Source organism: Homo sapiens, chromosome 9, assembly GCF_000001405.40.
Source record: "Homo sapiens chromosome 9, GRCh38.p14 Primary Assembly".
NCBI lineage: Eukaryota > Metazoa > Chordata > Mammalia > Primates > Hominidae > Homo > Homo sapiens.
Genome location: NC_000009.12, coordinates 36,659,999 through 36,680,253, shown reverse-complemented (window position 1 = coordinate 36,680,253; position 20,255 = coordinate 36,659,999). Strand labels below are relative to the sequence as shown.

Here is a 20,255-nt window from a genome sequence, read left to right as displayed (position 1 = left end):
TTTATAAAAATAGGTAAATTGGACTTCAGAAAATTGAAAACTTTTGTTCTTCAAAATACACTATCAAGAAAGTTAAAAAGCCCACATAATGGAAAAAACATTTGCATATCATATATTATATATATTATCATATAGCTGGTAACAGACATACCTAGAATATATAAAGAACTCTTACAATTCAACAATAAAAACATAACCCAATTTAAAATGTGCAAAGGATCTGAACAGACATTTCTCCAAGAAAGATATACAAATGGCCAAAAGCATATTAAAAACTGCTCTACATCATTAATCATCACGGAAAAGACAATCAAAACCACAATGCCATACCACTTTACACCCACTAGGATGACTAAAATTAAAAAAACAGATAACAAGTGTTTGACAGAATGTGGAAAAGTTAGAACCCTCGTACATCACTGGCAGGATCATAAAATGGTGCAGTGGCTTTGGAAAAACAGTTTGATAGTTCCTCAAAATGTTAAATGACCCAGCAATTCTGCTCCTAGGTATATATACAAGAGAAATGAAAACATGTCCACACAAAACTTGTATATAAGCATTCACAGCAGCATTCATAATAGCCAAGTGGAAACAATCCAAACGTCTATCAAGTGATAAATAAAATGTCACATATCCATACAGTGGAATATTATTCAGTTATCAAATGAAGTACTGATATATGCTACATTATAAATCTTGAAAATGTTATGCTACGTAAAAATAACTAAACCCCAAAGGTCTTACATTGCATGATTCCATTTATATGACATACACCAGTCAAATTCATAGAAACAGAAAGTAGGTAAGTGGTGGCCAGGGGCTGGGGGGTGGGGTATGGGGAGTGACCGGTAACAGGTATGGGGCTTCTTTTTGACATGATAAAAATGTTCTAAAATTACATTGTGGTGATGGTTGCACAACTATGAATATACTTTTATTTTATTTATTTTTTTGAGATGGAGTTTCACTCTGTCACCCAGGCTGGAGTGCAGTGGCACAATCTCGGCTCACTGCAACTTCCACCTCTCAGATTCAAGTGATTCTCCTGTCTCTGCCTCCCAAGTAGGTGGGATTACAGCCACATGCCACCATACCTAGCTACTTTTTTGTGTTCTTAGTAGAGACGGGGTTTCACCATGTTGGCCAGGCTGGTCTCAAACTCCTGACCTCAGGTGATCCACCCACCTCGGCCTCTCAAAGTGCTGAGATTACAGGGATAAGCCATGGCGCCCGACCTGAATACACTCTTAAACCCCCACTGAATTGTACACACTTTAAAGGGGTAAATCTTATGATATATGAATTACATCGTAACAAAGCTGTTGTTAAAATATTAAAAACCCTTTGACAGCTCTCCTTTGCCAAAACACTTATTTTAATGGGGCATTCAAGTACTTTCATGACTTATTTCCATCTAAACTTTCAATCCTCATCTACTGTCATTTCCCGCTTCCACTACCTTCTGCTTCTACCCCAAACACATAATGACATTTTATAATTCCCTGTCTTTGCACATATTGTTCTCTCAAAAATGTCATGTCCCAAGCTGGGGTGGTGGCTCATGCCTGTAATCCCAGCACTCTGGAGGGCTGAAGTGGGAGGACTGCTTGAGATCAAGAGTTTTGAGATCAGCCTGGGCAGCATAGTGAGACCCTGTCTGTACAAAAAGTAAAAAAATTTGCTGGGTGTGGTGGCGCACGCTTGTAGTACCAGCTACTTGGGAGGCTGAACCGGGAAGACTGCTTGAGCCCAGGAGGTCGAGGCTGCAGTGAGCTGAGATCACGCTACTGCACTCCAGCCTGGGTGACAGAGTGAGACTGCGTCTCAAAAAAAAAAGAAAGAAAGAAAGAAAAAAAGTCATACTCCTCACTCTTCTCTTTCTGCTGAACTCCTATATATCCTTCAATGACAAATGCTGTTTCTTCCAAGAATTCATTTCTAATTCCATGCAAAGTGGGTGGGTCCCGCTATGCTACAAATACAGTTAGTAAATCCTTGGGTTTACTAGACAGTAGCAGCTTCAGCCTGAGGACCTAATGCTTGTAAGCACTTAGTAAACATTTATTGAATAAATGAATGACAAAACATTCCCTTCACTACTGACCAGAAGGAGTGCTATTTTTTCTCCAACTAGTTTAATTGGTGAAATCCATACCAATATAACTTGAGTTCTAGCCTTTGGAGACCAATAAAATGAAATAAAAATACAAATTTGGGGCCAACATTGAGACTTAGGGAAATTACCATAAAGTAACATTTCAGGGGGGGTTCATAGTTCGGATACTTATCATTTGTTGACCAAACATACTTAAAGTCAATACTCTTTTATTCAACATATTAAATGTGTTGTTTAACTCTGGTAACCACAGCTGTGACAGTTAACGATCTCAATAAATCCTACTTAAATCAGACAGGAAAAAATTATGCAAATGAATTCTTATCTGTTTTTCTGCCCAAGGCATATTTGATAACAGATAAAACATACTCCAAATAGTCTCTACTTAATAGTCAGGAAGCCATTTGAGGTTTTATTTGGATCAAAATCAAATACAAAAAAGAGAAGCCTGCTATATTCACAAATGGTTTTATTTCAGAAAGAAATTACACATTACAAAGAGACATAGTTAAGAGCTTACATTCACATATGGAAGTGAATCTAAGAAAGTCAACAATTATTAATATACAAAACCACATGATTAAAAAAGACAGTAACATAATGACAGATGGGCTTGATTTAGATTCATACACAAAATAATATCTTTTGTTTAAAAACAAAGAGATATTGGTCTTAAGATAGCTCTTTAGAAACAAGTTGGTAGTTCCAATGAACTTTAAAATCAAAGCGATCATAACAGTCTTTATGTAGGCTGTATCACACCCACACTCATCCGGCAGGATGGAAGAATCCATCAATTATACCTTGCAGCTAGATAGGATGTCTTCCACTAATCTTTTGTAAACCCAGGCATCGCCCTTAAGCCGCTGCCTCCTGATACCCACCACATCGGGTTTTTGAAGCTGGCACACTTCTAATTCAAATTGCATTGTCACTTTCCCAAAATCTGACTGTGTTTGACACTTCAGTGTATAACTGTGAAAAACAAGATAAGAAGCTAGTTAGTAGGAGAACCATATTCTGTATAAGAGTTTTCTAAGCCTCTAGGAGGCCAGTGGAGGAAATGAACCATTATTTCATATTAAGCAATGTATTACTGTTTACAGTTTCCAAATGACCTAGCTATGCTTTAGTAATAGAGTATGACTGGTGTTTTCCCAGAAACTGAACTAGGATCCTAAGAATAAGCATGAAAAGGCTTTATTACAAGTCTCCCTTGCTCCAAAGAAAAGCCCCTGTTTCATAGCTATACATGCCATTCATGCTCAAGAAATCTGGCATTCTTTATGCAATCCTTTCAACGTGTAATCCGCAAACATTGGGCATTTCCACAACATTCACAACAAAGGAAAGCGCAAGAAAGATAATATTTCATGTGTGTGAGCCTTGTCAGAAACTTGTCTTTCATATAAATAAAGCTGAAGCCAGTAACCTGTCAGAAAGGCACGTGTGTTTTTGAGGTTTTTCTAATTAGTAATGAGAGATAACCTCTTATGACGATCATCACATCACTTTATGGCAGAAAGAAAAGCAGAAGAAAAAGCCCAAGGAAATGGTATATTCCCATAACTGAAACGTACGGCATTTATAGATAGAACTGCCGCATTATCTACTCTGAGAATGGAAAGGCCCAGTCAAAATGAAGCCTGAAACACATCTTAAGACATACGTATGATCCTGCAAAGCTGTATAAATTTAATTCATGTAATAATATTTAATTAGTTTACATTCTATTTTAGAGTTTTGTTTGTCTTACCAATCTTCAATAAATAGGACTGATTTTAAGTTTCAATTCCCTAAATACTTAAGGGTTCCTGATTAAGTGCTGTTCCACAGATGTGTGGAGAAGTTACATTGTTTCAGTTATGTACTTTTTTCTGTTTCATACTGTTATGTACCAAAATATTCTTTTTCTTACTAACTTAGTCATGTGTTTTGGGAAAGAGGCTTGATCTCTCAAAAATAAGCAGTCAACATCAAAAATGCCAAAAGGAGCACCCTGAAGTTAAGATTCTTGACAAGAAGATGAGGCATAGAACAATTTAGTCACATGTTAGATAATAGATCATTGAGAGACCTGTGACAGAGGTATGCCCAGAGGCTCATAGCCCCAAGCATGAAGAAGAGATCAGAGTGGGAGAGATGTGTTCTAATGAAGCCTGAGAGGAATGCCAGGGTTCACAGAAGGAATGCTTGCCAACATTTACAGATAACTAAAAACTAAAAATTATATCTGCACAAGATTGTTTCTTCAAATCTTACTCTATATTGACTATTCTATTTACATGTTTAAATCCATGCATGTCTCTTCTGGTTGCTTTAATAAAGAAATTTTAAAGGGAAATAATTGAATGGAAATGCTTAGAAATACGGCCATCTTGGGTGACCAGAAGAGGCCTGGCTATTGAGACCAGGAGATCATAACCAAGGAGGCTTTGATGGCAGTTCCTTCAACAGCGGGAGAGAGGTAAGGTGAAAAAACTTCCTAAAGCACTGAAAACCCAGCCCTGTAAAACAGCCAGTCATGAAGAGAAGGATTCTGTATAAATCCCTGATTCATTTGAAATGTCTCACAAATTTAGATTATAATTTATAAATATTATTGTAAAGCAGACAATCAAAGGAAAATAGAGGATCTACAAGAAAGCCAGAAGAATTTTGAATTTTCCTATTTTGAAATAAAGTGGGACAATATCTGTGCTTCTAAAACTTTTATAGCTTGAACCAAACAAAAGAGAATAAATTATAAGCAATAACACTACCTCAAAAGCTTTTGGGAATGAGGTGGGAGAAATACATTTTTTCTAAAGCACAGGGGTGAGGAGATCAACTTCTATTTTCTCTTTTTTTTGAGACAGAGTCTCGCTCTGTTACCTATGCTGGAGTGCAGTGGTGTGATCTCAGCTCATTGCAGCCTCCACCCAGGTTCAAGTGATTCTCATGCCTCAGCCTCCCACGTAGCTGGAACTACAGGCATGTGCCACCATGCCCAGCTAATTGTTTGTATTTTCAGTAGAGACAGGGCTTCTCCATGTTGGCCAGGCTGAACTTGAACTCTTGGCCTCAAGTGATCTGCCCACCTCAGCCTCCCAAAGTGCTGGGATTACAGGCGTGAGCCACCGCGCCCAACCAACTCCTATTTTCTCAAAGTCCAAAAGATACTAATAAATGCAACAGCTTGTAAATGTGCTTCTTACCCCTTTTGTACAAAGTCAACATGCTTCTTTGGAAGAATAGACATTATTTCATTCAACAGTTGATCTGGATTCACTAATCTAGTTGTAGTCACGTTATAGTGAAGCTAAGAAAAGAAAAAGAAGAGATGAGAAGTAAATTTTTACATCAACACAAAGACCATCACACCAGATCAAGAGTTCCAAAACTCCTCAATATAGTACTGTTTCAAATGGAACTATTTCCTAAAAAATATCAAAGGAATTTACAGTCAACTCTTAGTGAGTTAATGGCCCACTGGGAGAGCTTGGAGAAGTTATGGTTATTAGTAAACACACCCATAGCTTCCTTTTCATACTTTCATCTTCCTCTCCTACCAATCCTTTTAAAGAAATAAATATTAAAGAGCACCCATCTAACTGTTTGAGCTTTGCCTATTTTCCCCTTCCCACACTATTTTAAGAGACATTAACAGTCCTGAAATGTATACCACGGAAAGATAAACAAACACCATACAAAGTTTGCTTTGTACCTAGTTGGATATGTTTCCTTAACTCTTTCTGGATTATTTAAAGAATATTATAGAGTTCCAGGAGCTGATTTTATGACAGTTCTATGAGGAAATAAATGTAACAGGTATTCCTTTAAAAAAGTGATGTCATATTATTTTTTCTCATTGACTGAGAGCCTAATTCTCAGAGATAATTTCATTCCTAATTGATATTTATCCTTCATTCATTCAACAACTACTTTTGAATGTTTACTATGTGGTAGGCACTGTTTTAGTGGGTCCTGGACACACAAAAATCCCTCCCTTCCTGGTAAGTACCTTCACTGTCAAACAAAACCATAGTTTCTATATCTTTCAGGTTTGAGTTCATTGTATAAATAACAAAATGCCTAGGAAGAAAAGTATCCAACTATCTTACTTTTCAAAATAAGAACCTATGGCCCAAAGAAGAGATACAAATTTCTTAAGGTAGTGCTTCTCATAGTGTGATACAAGATAGACAAGGTAATTCTGGGTGGCACATGGATAAATATTTTTAAATATGTATTTGTTCCCAACTGATTTCGAAAACATAATTAACAACAACAACAAAAAAACCCTAATGATATAAAGGTTTCCTTTTAAATAAATTTGAGTTTTAAAAAATTATCTTGATTGTGGCAATGGTTTCACAGATGTTATATATAATGCCAAAGCATATTAATTGTACTTTAAAATATGCACAGTTGGCCGGGTGTAGTGGCTCATGACTGTAATCCCAGCACTTTGGGAAGCCAAGGCAGGAGGATTACTTGGGCTCAGGAGTTCAAGACCAGCCTGGGTAACATAGTGAGACCCTGTCTCTGCAAAAAAAATTAAGAATTAGCCAAGTGTGGTAGCACGCATCCCAGCTACTCAGGAAGCTGAGGCAGGAGGATGACTTGAGCCCAGAAGGTTGAGGCTGCAGTGAGCTATGATCATGCCATTGCACCACAGCCTGGGCAGCAGAGCAAGACTCTGCCTCAAAAAATTAACAACAAATAAAATAAAATAAAATATGTGCAAGTTTATTATATGTCAGTTATATCTCTATAAATCCATTTGTTAAAGGAGAGTCAACATAATGAAAATACCAGATAAATAATAGTGCACCCAATACACCCATAGAGCAAATGTCGTGAAACTGAGTGTTAACGAAGGGACCCTCTCTTTCTTGGTTCCTGATCCAGCACTCTTTTCACCAAACTAAATTGGCTCTGTTAAGATGATATTAATAATAAACTGAACACCTTCAAATCACAATATATTACTGCTTTGGTAAAATAAAGAATGAATCCTAATTTATCTACTTAAATTTTGGATTTTTTATAGACTGCTTCCTAAAAGAGGACATAACTACATATGATTTGCTATCTTAAAAAACTAAGGTATTATTTCTACTATCCTTGCAACTCTTCCGGTAAGTGTATAGTTTTTAGTACAGTATTTGAAGTAGGTGAAAAAAAATAAGGTTAATTTCCCAAAGAAAGTCCTTCAGTTTTGCAAAAACTTAAAAGCATTAAAAAGTGTTAATGATCTAAAGTTAAAGTTTTCAATCTTAGGACTGTGCTAATTAGGACCATGGGTCTATACATGGGTGGTAAAATGCTCAACACTGATAGTAATCCTTGACATTGGAAACATGTCACCTTATACTCATAAAGCATTTAATATGCCATGTAGCATCCCATATGTAGAGTCTTGTTTCTACATCTCAGCCGTGTGAGGTTGCCAGGGTAGGCATTATTTCCAGATTTTACAAATGAAGACACTGAGGAGATCAGGAATAAAATGATTTATCAAAGCTATACAGCACAAAGCTGGAGCCAGAACCCAGGTCTTCTCATTCCCAATCCTGTGGTTTTTCTCCTACATTCTGGAAGTACTGGAGAACTACCTAGAAAGCCAACTAACACCACAGTAGTTTCTATTGAAAAATGCATTCAGGTTCCAAAATATTTACATAACTGACCATTTTTAGAACATTATCCGTTAGTATTTGGTAACTGCTTAGCTTCTCAATAATGTGTATATATGTGGTTGAACTAGTTTCCTTAATTTTATTTAACATTTTTCAGTGCAATGGTACTATGGTTTTTTTAAATCTCAGTGTCGGTGCTTGAAATACTTAACTATCTCCAACCAGAGAAATTTCAGAACAAAAGGATAAAATATGCCTAATACACAGCCATATGTAACGTCTCAGCACACTACAAAAGTTCAAGGTAATGACTGCTAGTGGATAACTCCTATCTTCTTCCACTTTAAGACAGAACAGAAATGAGATCACAGAACATTCTCCTCTAAAACACCCTTCTGCCCAAAAGCTCAGCATTTTCCTTCCCTCAAACCGCCCAGATTTGCTCATTACGAGAGTCTCAGTGCAAAAACTAAACATAGACCCAGTCCCCAAATGATGGGCACACTACCATCTTCTCCCCTGCTTGGGCCCACACCTCTTGGAATGTGTTTTTACTATAGCACTGAGCCCAGTGTTTCAGAACAACATCCCAGCCTGTTTTCACAGCCAGCCTAAGAGTTCCTCAAGGAATGGGCTGTCTCATTCGTCCCTTTACCTCTTAATTACTCCCCTTCCACCAAACAAACATGTATTCATCAGATGTTTGAATGAATGCTCAGAGAGAATCCAAGAGAATAAAAAGTACTTTATATCAACTAACAGCTTATTTTTCCTTTCCTTCCTTGACTAAATATATTGTCCACACCAGTGACACATTAACCCTTTTAAAGCATACTGGGTCTATTAAATAAGATCCACACCTTCTTAGCCAGGCCTTGAGGCCCTTCCGGCCTACCTTCCCCGCTTGTCACTCACTATTTTCCTGACACACACCACACTCAAAGTTCCAATTATCTTCCCATGCATTCAAATATTTCATGAGGGCCTACAAAGTATCCATGAATCAGGGACACAACTGAGCTCAAGTCCCCCTCCTTAAGGCAGCTCTCAGCTCTCCATCTGTGCCCCCTGCTTCCTCACCTCCATGTTGCCCCTGTGACTAATCCCTCCACCTGTTCTTGAATATTTGAATGATAGCTGTTTGCTCCTTGAAGGGAGTGACTGTATCTATTTACTGACTGCACAGTAACATGCAGATTTTAGTTGCTCAAAAAACATATATTAACTAAGTGAATAAATACTCAAATAAAAAACACTAATCAATTCATTCAGCACCTTAAAAAAAAAAGGCAGTCCATTAGCAGTCAGCTTCTGCTCCATATGAAAGAATTCCAGCCTGCTTACCTTTAGTCTTCTGGGCCCGTCTCTGGCAGAACCCTTCCTTTTGCTCCTGGTGAGCACAGTGATAACCTTATCCAACCCCCTTTCAAGGCTCCCAAACACTTTGGCTCCCTTTCTTTTTGGAGTCTCCTCCATATGTGCTTGGTTGAGATCCAATTCCACTGAGCGGCACCTGAAACAAAACATAAAACAAGGCACAAGTAGAGCTGGGCCTCCGGCCTGTGGGGTCCACAAGGGTGAACTTTTGTCCCTTCATACACATTAGGATGCCTCACTCAGGTATGCCAGGGCCAGATCACCTCTCTCTTCCTCAGGAAGCACCAAAGCCATCTCCCCCTGGACAGGAGCTGTCACACTTCTACCAGGCAACTGCCACTCAGCAAAACTATTTATCCCCTTCCTTTTTAAAAAAGGATATATATATCCTTTTTTCATATATATAGAAAAGTTCAAAGAAGAGTACAATGAACACCGGTATATCCTCCTAGATTCAACAATTGTTCATATTTTGCCACATTTGCTTTCTATTTGGATATAGATAATATATTAATGTACATATGTATATAGATATACACTGATATATATACATCAATGTATATATCTATATATACACATAAATTTAATGTATGTAGATAATACATTAAATTTACTTATTTGCTAAGCCATCTGAAAGTAACTCATCTGAACATATCATGACACTTTACTCTGAAACACTTCAGTATACATCTCCAATGAATAAGGATGTTGTCTTCCATAAAGACAACACCATAAAGTGTGCTGAGAAGTTTACGTTACATATGGCTGTTTATTAGGCATATTTTATCCTTTTGTTCTGAAATTTTTCTGGTTGGAGATAGTTAAGTATTTCAAGCACTGACACTGAGATTTAAAAAAACCATAGTACCATTGCACTGAAAAATGTTAAATAAAATTAAGGAAACTAGTTCAACCACATATATACACATTATTGAGAAGCTAAGCAGTTACCAAATACTAACGGATAATGTTCTAAAAATGGTCAGTTATGTAAATATTTTGGAACCTGAATGCATTTTTCAATAGAAACTACTGTGGTGTTAGTTGGCTTTCTAGGTAGTTCTCCAGCACTTCCAGACTGTGGGAGAAAAACCATAAGATTAGGAATGAGAAGACCTGGGTTCTGGCTCCAGCTTTGTACTATATAGCTTTGATAAATCATTTTATTCCTGATCTCCTCAGTTTCTTCATCAATAAATTAATAATAATTCCATAATATCATCTAATACCCTGTCCACATTCTAATTCTCCAATTGTCTTGAAAATAGACAATGCCTTTAAGAAATTGCTATAAAAGAATAGCAACTTGAAGAGTTACCTATGCTGCAGAACTTTTCATACAGAGGATTTTCTTTGAAACAACAGTATCTTTACGATTTGGGAGGACTACAATCTGTTAGAGGATATCTGTATTTTACTGGCAGAAGAGAAGGGTAAGATGGGCCTCAGAGAGGTAACTAGTTGGCTGGGGTGAGGACCACTGTCTTCCCAGCCTGTTGTACTTAAGGTGCCGTCCTACTGCTGATCAGTTTCATGATTCTACCCCATGAGGAAGGCAGTGGCTACAGGTCCAGGAATGGCCACAGGTCATCCACACATAAACAGATATTCCTACTCTCCAACAGAATCTATGTGATGATTTACCTTAATCAGGTCTATTAATACATGAAAAAGGAAATCTGGTTACATATACTAAAGATTAGAGTCTAAAAAAACCAAACACTTACCGCCTCTCAGGGCTAATGACACCTGTCATTAACTTGTCTGTTCCTGTTGAATTTACTGGTATTTTAATTGGAGTTTCTTTCAGGCACTGGTTTCTAGCTATTAGAAACAGAACAAACACAATCCATATGCAGCACATACTATGGTTCTGAAATTTCTATTATTAATAATAATGCAGGTATCACATTATTCATTGACTCAGAAACAGTATAATCACTTGACCTGTGATGTCGAAGGCTCTAATTCTTTCAAGAAATGTTTCCATGTGATTTATAATAAAAACAAAATCATTTTGCTTTGTATGTGTGGCTCTTCTTTTTTTTCTTCACTGCAAATTTAGGCCATGCTTTTAATTTTATTATAAACATCATATGATAAATCTAAACAGATCATATAAATACAAATCTCATAATTACTGATTCTTTTTCTAAAAATAAAAGTCAATCTGTATTTATACAAGGGCCCAATTTATGCTTTTAATTGATCTAGTATTAAAAGGTGTTAATTGAATTCATAGCCCGATTCAACTCATGTTAGGCAAAAAGAACAGACCCCTGTGAAAGCTTGACATAAGTTATTAAAGAGATGTAAGCTTTGGCCAGGCACAGTGGCTCATGCCTGTAATCCCAGCACCTTGGGAGGCCGAGGAGGGCGGATCATGAGGTCAGGAGTTCGAGACCAGCCTGGCCAACATGGTCAAATGCCATCTCTACTAAAGATACAAAAAAATTAGCTGGGCGTGGTGGCGCACGCCTGTAATCCCAGCCACTTGGGAGGCTGAGGCAGAAGAATCCCTTGAACCCAGTAGGCAGATGTTGCAGTGAGCCGAGATCGCGCCATTGCACTCCAGCCTGGGAGACAGAGCAAGACTTCATCTCGGAAAAAAAAAGAGATGTAAGCTTTGATTATTTTTTATATTCCCTGTTCCAGAATTTTGTGTTTTATTCTAAGTAGGGTATTTGCATTCCAGATAGTTTATGACAAATTTGTACTAACGAATCTGGTTATACTGATTAGCTCATGATCTAAAAGTTTTATACCCTTTAGAGATAATATTCACACTATAAAAACAAAGATATAATATCAAAATTTTAAAAGAGATTAGGGGCTTGGTTTTGTTTATGACTATTTGGCTACATTCTCACTTTCCACAAGAACAAGAAAATAAGAGCAATCAGAAATATTTATAAAAACAGTTTTCATCTTTGTATACAGACAGTATCTATCACCATACAGAACTGCCCTTCAACAAACTGCCAATGCCTGCATTGTGTAGGAGTGACGAAAATGAAATTTATGTTTATGTCAAAAATAACTCACAATGAAAGTAAAATGCAGGTCTGGGCATGGTGGGCTCACCCCCGTAATCCCAGCACTTTGGGAGGCCGAGGCAGGTGGATCACCTGAGGTCAAGAGTTTCGAGAGCAGCCTGCCCAACATGTTGAAACCCCATCTCTACTAAAAATACAAAAAATTAACCGGGCATGGTGGTGCGCACCTGTAATCCCAGCTACTCAGGAGGCTGAGGCAGGAGAATCTCTTGAACCTGGGAGGCGAAGGTTGCAGTGAGGCAAGATCATGCCACTGCACTCCAGCCTGGGCAACAAGAGTGAAACTCTGTCTCAAAAAAAAGAAGAAAAGAGAAGAGAAGAGGAGAGAAGAGAAAAAAGAAAAGAAAGAAAAATGCAAAGTGCCAGTGGAAGCTAACAATCATGGCTTCAGCCACTTGCTTCCTTAAGTGGCTCGTGTTTAAAAAGAAACAACCAATAATAGCTTTGACCAACACAATCTTTCTCGTCATGACAACATATGTCAACTGATAATATTTCAAGATTATAAAATAAATTCCAAACTACCCATATTGCAAAACCTTCAGAGTTACACAAAAAGTAAAAAATGTCAATAATGGAAGGGATTATGGCATTAAAATTTTTTTTAAATAAAAAAGCCCTGGGCCGGGCACAATGGCCCACGCCTATAATCCCAGAAATTTGGGAGGCTGAAGAGGGCAGATCACCTGAGGTCAGGAGTTTGAGACCAGCCTGACCAATATGGTGAAGCCCTGTCTTCACTAAAAATACGAAAATTAGCTGAGCGTGGTAGCAGGCGCCTGTAATCCCAGCTACTAGGGAGGCTGAGGCAGGAGAATCGCTTGAACCCAGGAGGCAGAGGTTGCAGTGAGCCGAGATCGCACCACTGCACTCCAGCCTGGGCAACAGAGCAAGACTCCAACTCAAAGAAATTAAAAAAAAAAGAAAAAAAGGGGAAAAAAAAGATCGTTGAATGAGCTAAGGTGAGCTGAGGTCCGTTTTATCTCCCTGCCCAATCTCATGAGTCACAAAGGGTACTGTATTTACAGTAAGAGAAACAACAGAACAGAAAGAGACCCTTTCATTGGGAAAGAATGCAATAGCAGCTACCATTGCAGGGTAGAGGCTATCTCACTGAATTCTCATAACAACCACAGGCAGCGCCACCGCACCCCCCCACACACACACCATCACACACACACACACACACACACACACACACACACACACACACACACACACACAAACACAGACATCATCAGGACACCAAACTGGCCTCACATTTTGGCGGAAAGTGTTATTTGAGTTGATGAAATGGAAAATGACGTTAACATAAAAATGGGACTTCTAGCAAATATTCTGGCAAAGTCTTCCGTAATATCTTTATAGACAAGAAGTTAACCCCTCAAACTGGCTATGAGCTCCATTAGTACACTAGAAGCACAATGGCAGGATGTGGTTTCCCAGCAGTTCACATGGCAATGCTCCAGAGTTTAGGTTTGTTAGAATCTTGAAACTTGAGAAGGTCACAATTGGTGGGGGGAAAAAGGCTAATAAAGTTTAGGTAACATTTTTTAAAGTGACATAAACAGGATCACTGTAAATAAAATTCCTTTGGGCTCTAATTTATTAATTCATTACATAAATATGGCCCCTATTATGTACTAGGCATCAGGTCTAGTACTGTGTACTATGTACCAGACAGGTATGGCCCCTACTACAGACCATGCCATGCTGCAATAAACAAGGCAGAGAGTCTCTACTGTCATGACACTTACCACTCTACCCTAGTGAGACCTAGTCTAGAAAACTCAGTTTAGTTCTAGGCACTGTATTCTAAGAGGCAGTCTGATCAAATAGAATGTGTCCAGATGAGGCCAGCAACCAAAACAGTGAAGTATCATAAAGGAAATGGTTTAAATAACTGCTCATGACTAAATTGAAGAGGAAACCAAGGGAAATGAGGAAGTTGTGATAACTGGACAAAGACAGATATCTGGAAGGGCATCATGGATTCACCCTGCCTGCTGAGGACAGGCAGTAATACCATAGGGCAGAACAGGACCAGACACCACAACTGGAGATCCAGATAAGTAAAGGCTCAGCGGAGGCGTCAGCTTGAGTCATAAGTCGGGGTAAATGGGCATGAAAGGTCTAAACCTGGGTATATGACCTTGGGCAAATCACTTCACTCCTTCTGAGTCTCAGGTTTCTTAGCTGTGAAAAAGGGAGTTGGATTAAATGAGCTCTAACTTGCCTTTCAGCTTTGATATCCTAGGATGCTATGATTCAATTTTATAAACGTGAAAAAGAGGAAAAACTTGGTATCATTTGAGAATAAATTGAAATTGACAAATATGCTTTCATTTTAACTAATGCAAATGACATGATAAAAAACAGCTTCACTTCTCCTAGAAATTCCTGAAAGCAATGCTAGTCATTTCTGACCTGCTATATGTTTACTTAACATGGTAAGAAAAATGAAACTTCTTACTGCTTAATTCACTTAGCAAATACCTTTTGAGGGTGTAGTGTAACGATTTGGCGTAGTGAGTATTTCTCTCTTATGCTGGTTCTTATTAACTGGAGTCTTTGGCTCAGGAAACATAAAGTACTCTTCATTCTTTACAGCAGACTTAGGAGTATATACATTTTCTTTGTTCTTTAATTTATTTGCAGGTGTTCTGCATAAGGCTGGAGTTAATGATTTAGATTCCACCCCATTTGATTCTGTCCAGTACTTGGTAAACTGGAAAAAAAAAGTTACTAGATAAAGCACACTGAAGAAGAAAAGTCAATTTCTTTACAACATTCCTTGATCATTTGCAAACTACCTTGTACTATTTTTATTAAAATGAATTATCAAAAGGATATTATTGACATTAGGAAATTTGAAAATATATAGTTTTCTTTAATACATGTAGATCACTTTAGTCTGTTCTATTGACAGTAATTTTCAACATGATACAGGCTGAGTGTATACACATACTCAGATCCTAGGCAATATTGTGAATGGCCACAAATCAATCACTAAGAAATGCTTTCCATACCTAGATAGTCACGGCTTGCCTCTGACATGTACCAAAAAAAAAGTTTAGTCAGCAATTAGGGCAGAAAAAACATGTTAAACTACTCTAACAGAAATATTGGATAAAAAATACTTTTTAATCCTTTTAAATTTATGGTTGAGCTTGCAAGAGAGTAAGTAAAATCCTGAGAGGCCAAACTAAAAACATGAGAATGAATCCAAAGGAGTAACCAAGGCTGAAACTCTCTGCTGCCCTAAGGGCAGCTATCTTCTGCCTCTGATAACCTATAGCATGTGTTTCTACAGCCACAGAAGCCTTGGGCCTCTGCAAGGTGGTGAGTTAGAACCAAAGCTCCCATGTAAAGCCAGGAAGGGCTATAGCTAAAATTAAAGGCTGAGTTAAATATAAATCTGCTCTTCAAAGGGAATAGGCAAGAAAAAGGGTGTCTTGGTCTTGGTTCTGAGGGAGGAGAAAAATGAAGTTTCTTTTAATAATTTGTAAGTAAACACAGGCCAGTCTTCAGATAAATAAAGGTCCAAATTAATACAACCTGCATGGTCCCAGAAACCTCAAGCCTAAATTTAACTTAAAGTAGTCCTATGCTAAGTTGTGCCCCAGGAACCTGGTAGAAGCACGCACAACTCCTACCTGAAAGAAAAGCTTCACTCCAACCCAACTCAAGCCCTTAACCCAAGCCTCAGATAATTCCCATAGAGTTCAAAGAAAAATAAACCTACATAAAAAATTCCAAAAGACACAAGCACTATGAGCATAAAGATTTCAGATATTAAAATTATCAAATACAGAACATAAATAAGTATGTTTGCATGTTTAAAATAGTGAAACAAAAACATGAGTAAAGAACAAAAGACTACCAAAACTGTTCAAATAGATTTGAAAAAGAATAAAAACTTCTAGAAATAAAAACATGATAAAAATGAAAAGTGCAATGCACATGTCAAATAACAGAATAAAAGAAATAGAGATATTTTAATAGAAATATAAATCCGAAATAACTCTGAATGTAGCCAAGACAGAAAAAGACATACGATACGTGAAAGATGGTTGAAGGAAACAGAAAATGAAATAAAATGTCTAACATAAGGCTATTCTAAGTTCCAGATATACATAGTATGGACAATGCAAAAGCAGCAATTCCCTCTACTTCTTTTCCCAAAGGAAAAGAAATCAATACATCAAAAACATACCTGCACTTGTATATTTATCTCAGTACTTATTCACAATAGCAAAGATACAAAATCAACCCAAGTGTCCATCAACAGATGACTGCATAAAGGAAATGTGAGATAGATAGACAGACAGACACACAGATAGAATACTATTCAACCATAAAAAAGAATGAAATCCTATCTTTTGCAACAAGGTGGATGGAAGTGGAGGTTACCTTAAGTGAAACAAGCCAGACACAGAATGACAAATATTGCATGTTCTCACTCATAAGTGGGTGCTAAAAAAGGGTGTACACGTGGATGTAGAGAGTGGAATGATAGAAAATGTAGACTTGGAAGGGTGAGGAGATGGAAGGGGGTTGGTGATGAGAAATTACTTAAGGGGTGCGATGTACATTATTCAGCTGACACCTTAAAACCTCTCACTTGACCACTATGCATCTAAGAAAATTGTACTTGTACTCTATAAATTTATATAAATATTGTTTTAAAGAAAAGCAGGCTGGGTGCGCTGGCTCACACCTGTAATCCCAGCACTTTGGGAGGCCAAGTCATGTGATCACCTGAGGTCAGGAGTACAAGACCAGCCTGGCCAACATGGTGAAACTCTGTCTCTACTAATAATACAAAAATTAGCTGGGCATGGGGACAGGCACCTGTAATCCCAGCTACTCGGGAGGCTGAGGTAGGAAAATCGCTTGAACCTGGGAAGCAGAGGTTGCAGTAAGCTGAGATCGTGCCATTGCACTCCAGCCTGGGCAAGAAGAGAGAAACTCTGTCTCAAAAAGAAAAAAAAAAAGAAACAAGGAAAAGGAGAAAAAGAAAAAGCAGTATATTATTCAAGAAATTTTCAAAAATTGATTAAAAATACAAATCCCCATACATAGAAAGCATGATGAATCATGAACTGGATACATAAAAGAAATCCACATCTCTATTTACCAGATTATACAACTCCAGAGGACACTATCCACAGAGACACCACACAGATGGTGTGTTCCCTGGAGGTGTGCAACGCAGTAGCCCTAACAGTGAAACTGCAGAACACCAAAAGCAAAGAGAAGGTCCTAAAAGGAGCCAGAGAGAAAAGACAGACTAAAAAGGCACTAGACTGAGGTTGGTTTTTCAATAGCAACAATAGAAGCAAGAAGAAAGTGGAATAATATCTTCAATAACATCCTGTGAATCCATAAATATTTCAAAATAAAAAGTTAAAAACATTCAAGAGCTAATACACTGGACACATCAATAGCATGGAATCCAGGAGGGGTAATCAGAGATTAAGTGTTCTAAGGCCTTCATATTGTTTAGAAGGAAATTAAACATACAGATTCACAGCAGGGTGCAGGGGCTCACGCCTGTAATTCTAGCACTTTGGGAGGCCGAGGCAGGTGGATCACCTGAGGTCAGGAGTTCGAGACCAGCCTGGCCAACATGGTGAAACCCTGTCTCTACTAAAAATACAAAAATTAGCCAGACATGGTGGCGGGTGCCTGTAAACCCGGCTACTTGGGAGGCTGAGGCAGGAGAATCACTTGAACCCAGGAGGAAGAGGTTGCAGTGAGCCTGAGATCACGCCATTGCACTCAAGCCTGGGCAACAGAGCAAGATTCCATCTTAAAAAAAAAAAAAAAAAGATACAGATTCACTTTATATTTCGTTAAATTAAATGTTAAAAATTTAGAGTAAATATTAAAAGAATAGAAATCAAATAGAAACCAATAAAATGTGGGGGGAAATTAACATAAAAAATCAAGAAATAAGGGGGAAATACAGAAAAAGACACATAGGAAACATAAAAAAAGAAAGATATATAATAACTAAATCCATAATAAAAATAAGTTGGGTAAGCGCTCAATTCAAAAGACAAGATTTTCAGTTTGCATACCAAATCTAGCTATGTTTTTTTCTTTGTTTGTTTTGTTTTTTTTTTTTTTTTTTTTGAGACGGAGTCTCGCTCTGTCACCTAGGCTGGAGTGCAGTGGTGCAATCTCGGCTCACTGCAAGCTCCGCCTCCCGGGTTCATGCCATTCTCCTGCCTCAGCCTCCCAAGTAACTGGGACTAGAGGTGCCCGCCACCATGCCCAGCTAATTTTTTGTATTTTTTAGTAGAGATGGAGTTTCATTGTGTTAGCCAGGATGGTCTCAATCTCCTGACCTCATGATCCACCCACCTTGGCCTCCCAAAGTGCTGGGATTACAGGCGTGAGCCACCGCGCCCGGCCTAGCTATGTTATTTTTAAAGAGACATACCTAAATATAAGGTATGAAAGGTTTCATTGTTTTATTTGTTTCATTGTTTTATTTATTAAGGAAATCTTACTTTCTTTAATTTTATAATAGTTCTTTTATCAGGTTGACCAGTTTCCTCCCATCTTCTTATTCTTTAGGAATGATTTAGTTATTCTTGCCCCTTTGTATTTCCACATACATTTTAGAATCATTTTGACTTATTTTACATCCACTGAAAAGTTGAGATTACATTAAATTTAAAATTCATTTTGGGAAAAACTGAAATCTATACCTTCAAATCTCCCTATCCATAAACAAAGTATACCTCTTTTGTTTCAGAACTCTGTGTATTAGCCAAAGATCGCAGCATTTATTCATAGAAAACAGCTAAGTAGAAACAGTGAGTTTGAGGTGTTTGAATTTGCCCTACCTATCCCCATTCTTCTCTCTCCAGCTCTATGATAGTCTTAGAAACCCACAGCCCACAATCACGATGAAGACCAGCAACCTAGGAGCCGCTGGAGGGGGCAGAACAGGTTGGAGCTCCTTCAAAGCTTCATGCTCAGAAAACTGTCATTATTTAGCCTGGCCAGTAGTTCCCTAGAAGACCCTACTATGAAAGCTGTCTTTTTTTATTCTTTGTTTGTTTTTTATTTGAGACGGAGTTTTGCTCTTGTTGCCCAGGCTGGAGTGTAATGGCGTGAACTCAGCTCACTGCAAACTCCACCTCCCGGGTTCAAGCAATTCTCCTGCCTCAGCCTTCCGAGTAGCTGGGATTACAGGCATGTGCCACCACAGGCAGCTAATTTTGTATTTTTAGTAGAGACGGGGTTTCTCCATGTTGGTCAGGTAGGTCTTGAACTCCCGACCTCAGGTGATCCACCCGCCTCAGCCCCCCAAAGTGCTGGGATTACAGGCGTGAGCCACTGCACCCAGCCTGAAAGCTGTCTTTATTTGACCTTACTCAGAGCCTGCCCAGTATGAACAGCCTTTTCCCCAGCAGCATCTGTTAAAAAGATTTAGAGGTGCCAGGCGCAGTGGCTCACGCCTGTAATCCCAGCACTTTGGGAGGCCAACGCGGGTGGATCTCTTGAGTCCAGGAGTTTGAGACCAGCCTGGGCAAAATATTGAGACCCTGTCTCTACAAAATAATTTTGTAAAAATTAGCTGGGCATGGTGGTGCATGCCTATAGTCCCCGATACTCGGGAGGCTGAGGCAAGAAAATTGCTTAAGCCCAGGAGGTCGAGGCTGCAGTGAGCCATGATCACACCACTGGACTCCAGCCTGGTTGACGGAATGAGATCCTATCTCAAAAACAAAAAAAAATTTACAGGCAATTGTTGCACATTGTGGCTGCCGAAGCAGTAAGTAATAGCTGGTGACCACAATAAACTAACAAAAATGCTGAAAAAAAAGTTAGAGAATAAGATGTCCACAGTGAATTGGAAAAGCTCCAAAATATACCAGGGTATCTACAAGCCCAATGTACATGTATAGGATGTGCTCATACCCAGGGCTGTGCATTTGCTCAGGAAAGACTTTAGAAGGGGCTGGGCATGGTGGCTCACGCCTGTAATCCCAGCACTTTGGGAGGCTGAGGCAGGTGGATCACTTGAGGTCAGCAGTTCGAGACCAGCCTGACCAACAT

At 38.5% G+C, this 20,255-nt stretch overlaps 1 protein-coding gene across 53 annotated transcripts in view, besides 1 other annotated feature; it reads right to left on the bottom strand.

The window, feature by feature from the left end:
- Positions 1-2,571: 2,571 nt before the first annotated feature.
- Positions 2,572-20,255, bottom strand: part of MELK (maternal embryonic leucine zipper kinase) — a 104,788-nt gene continuing 87,104 nt past the window's right edge. For all 53 annotated transcript variants that reach the window (NR_046337.2, XM_011518076.3, XM_047424171.1 and 50 more), the window contains 5 exons: positions 14,673-14,904; positions 10,848-10,944; positions 9,088-9,256; positions 5,317-5,420; positions 2,572-3,094 (listed from right to left, as the gene is read on the bottom strand). Coding sequence is in view for 52 of the 53 variants with exons in the window: in XM_011518076.3 (XP_011516378.1) it covers positions 2,917-3,094; positions 5,317-5,420; positions 9,088-9,256; positions 10,848-10,944; positions 14,673-14,904 (780 nt within the window). In the remaining variant the exon portion in view is untranslated. The remainder of the gene's footprint in view (positions 3,095-5,316; positions 5,421-9,087; positions 9,257-10,847; positions 10,945-14,672; positions 14,905-20,255) is intronic.
- Positions 14,091-14,190: an enhancer, noted in NCBI's record as "active region_28355". NCBI's record gives its function as "activates an Ori minimal core promoter by ATAC-STARR-seq in GM12878 lymphoblastoid cells {active_cell/tissue: GM12878}" and the evidence as "EXISTENCE:reporter gene assay evidence [ECO:0000049][PMID:35858748]".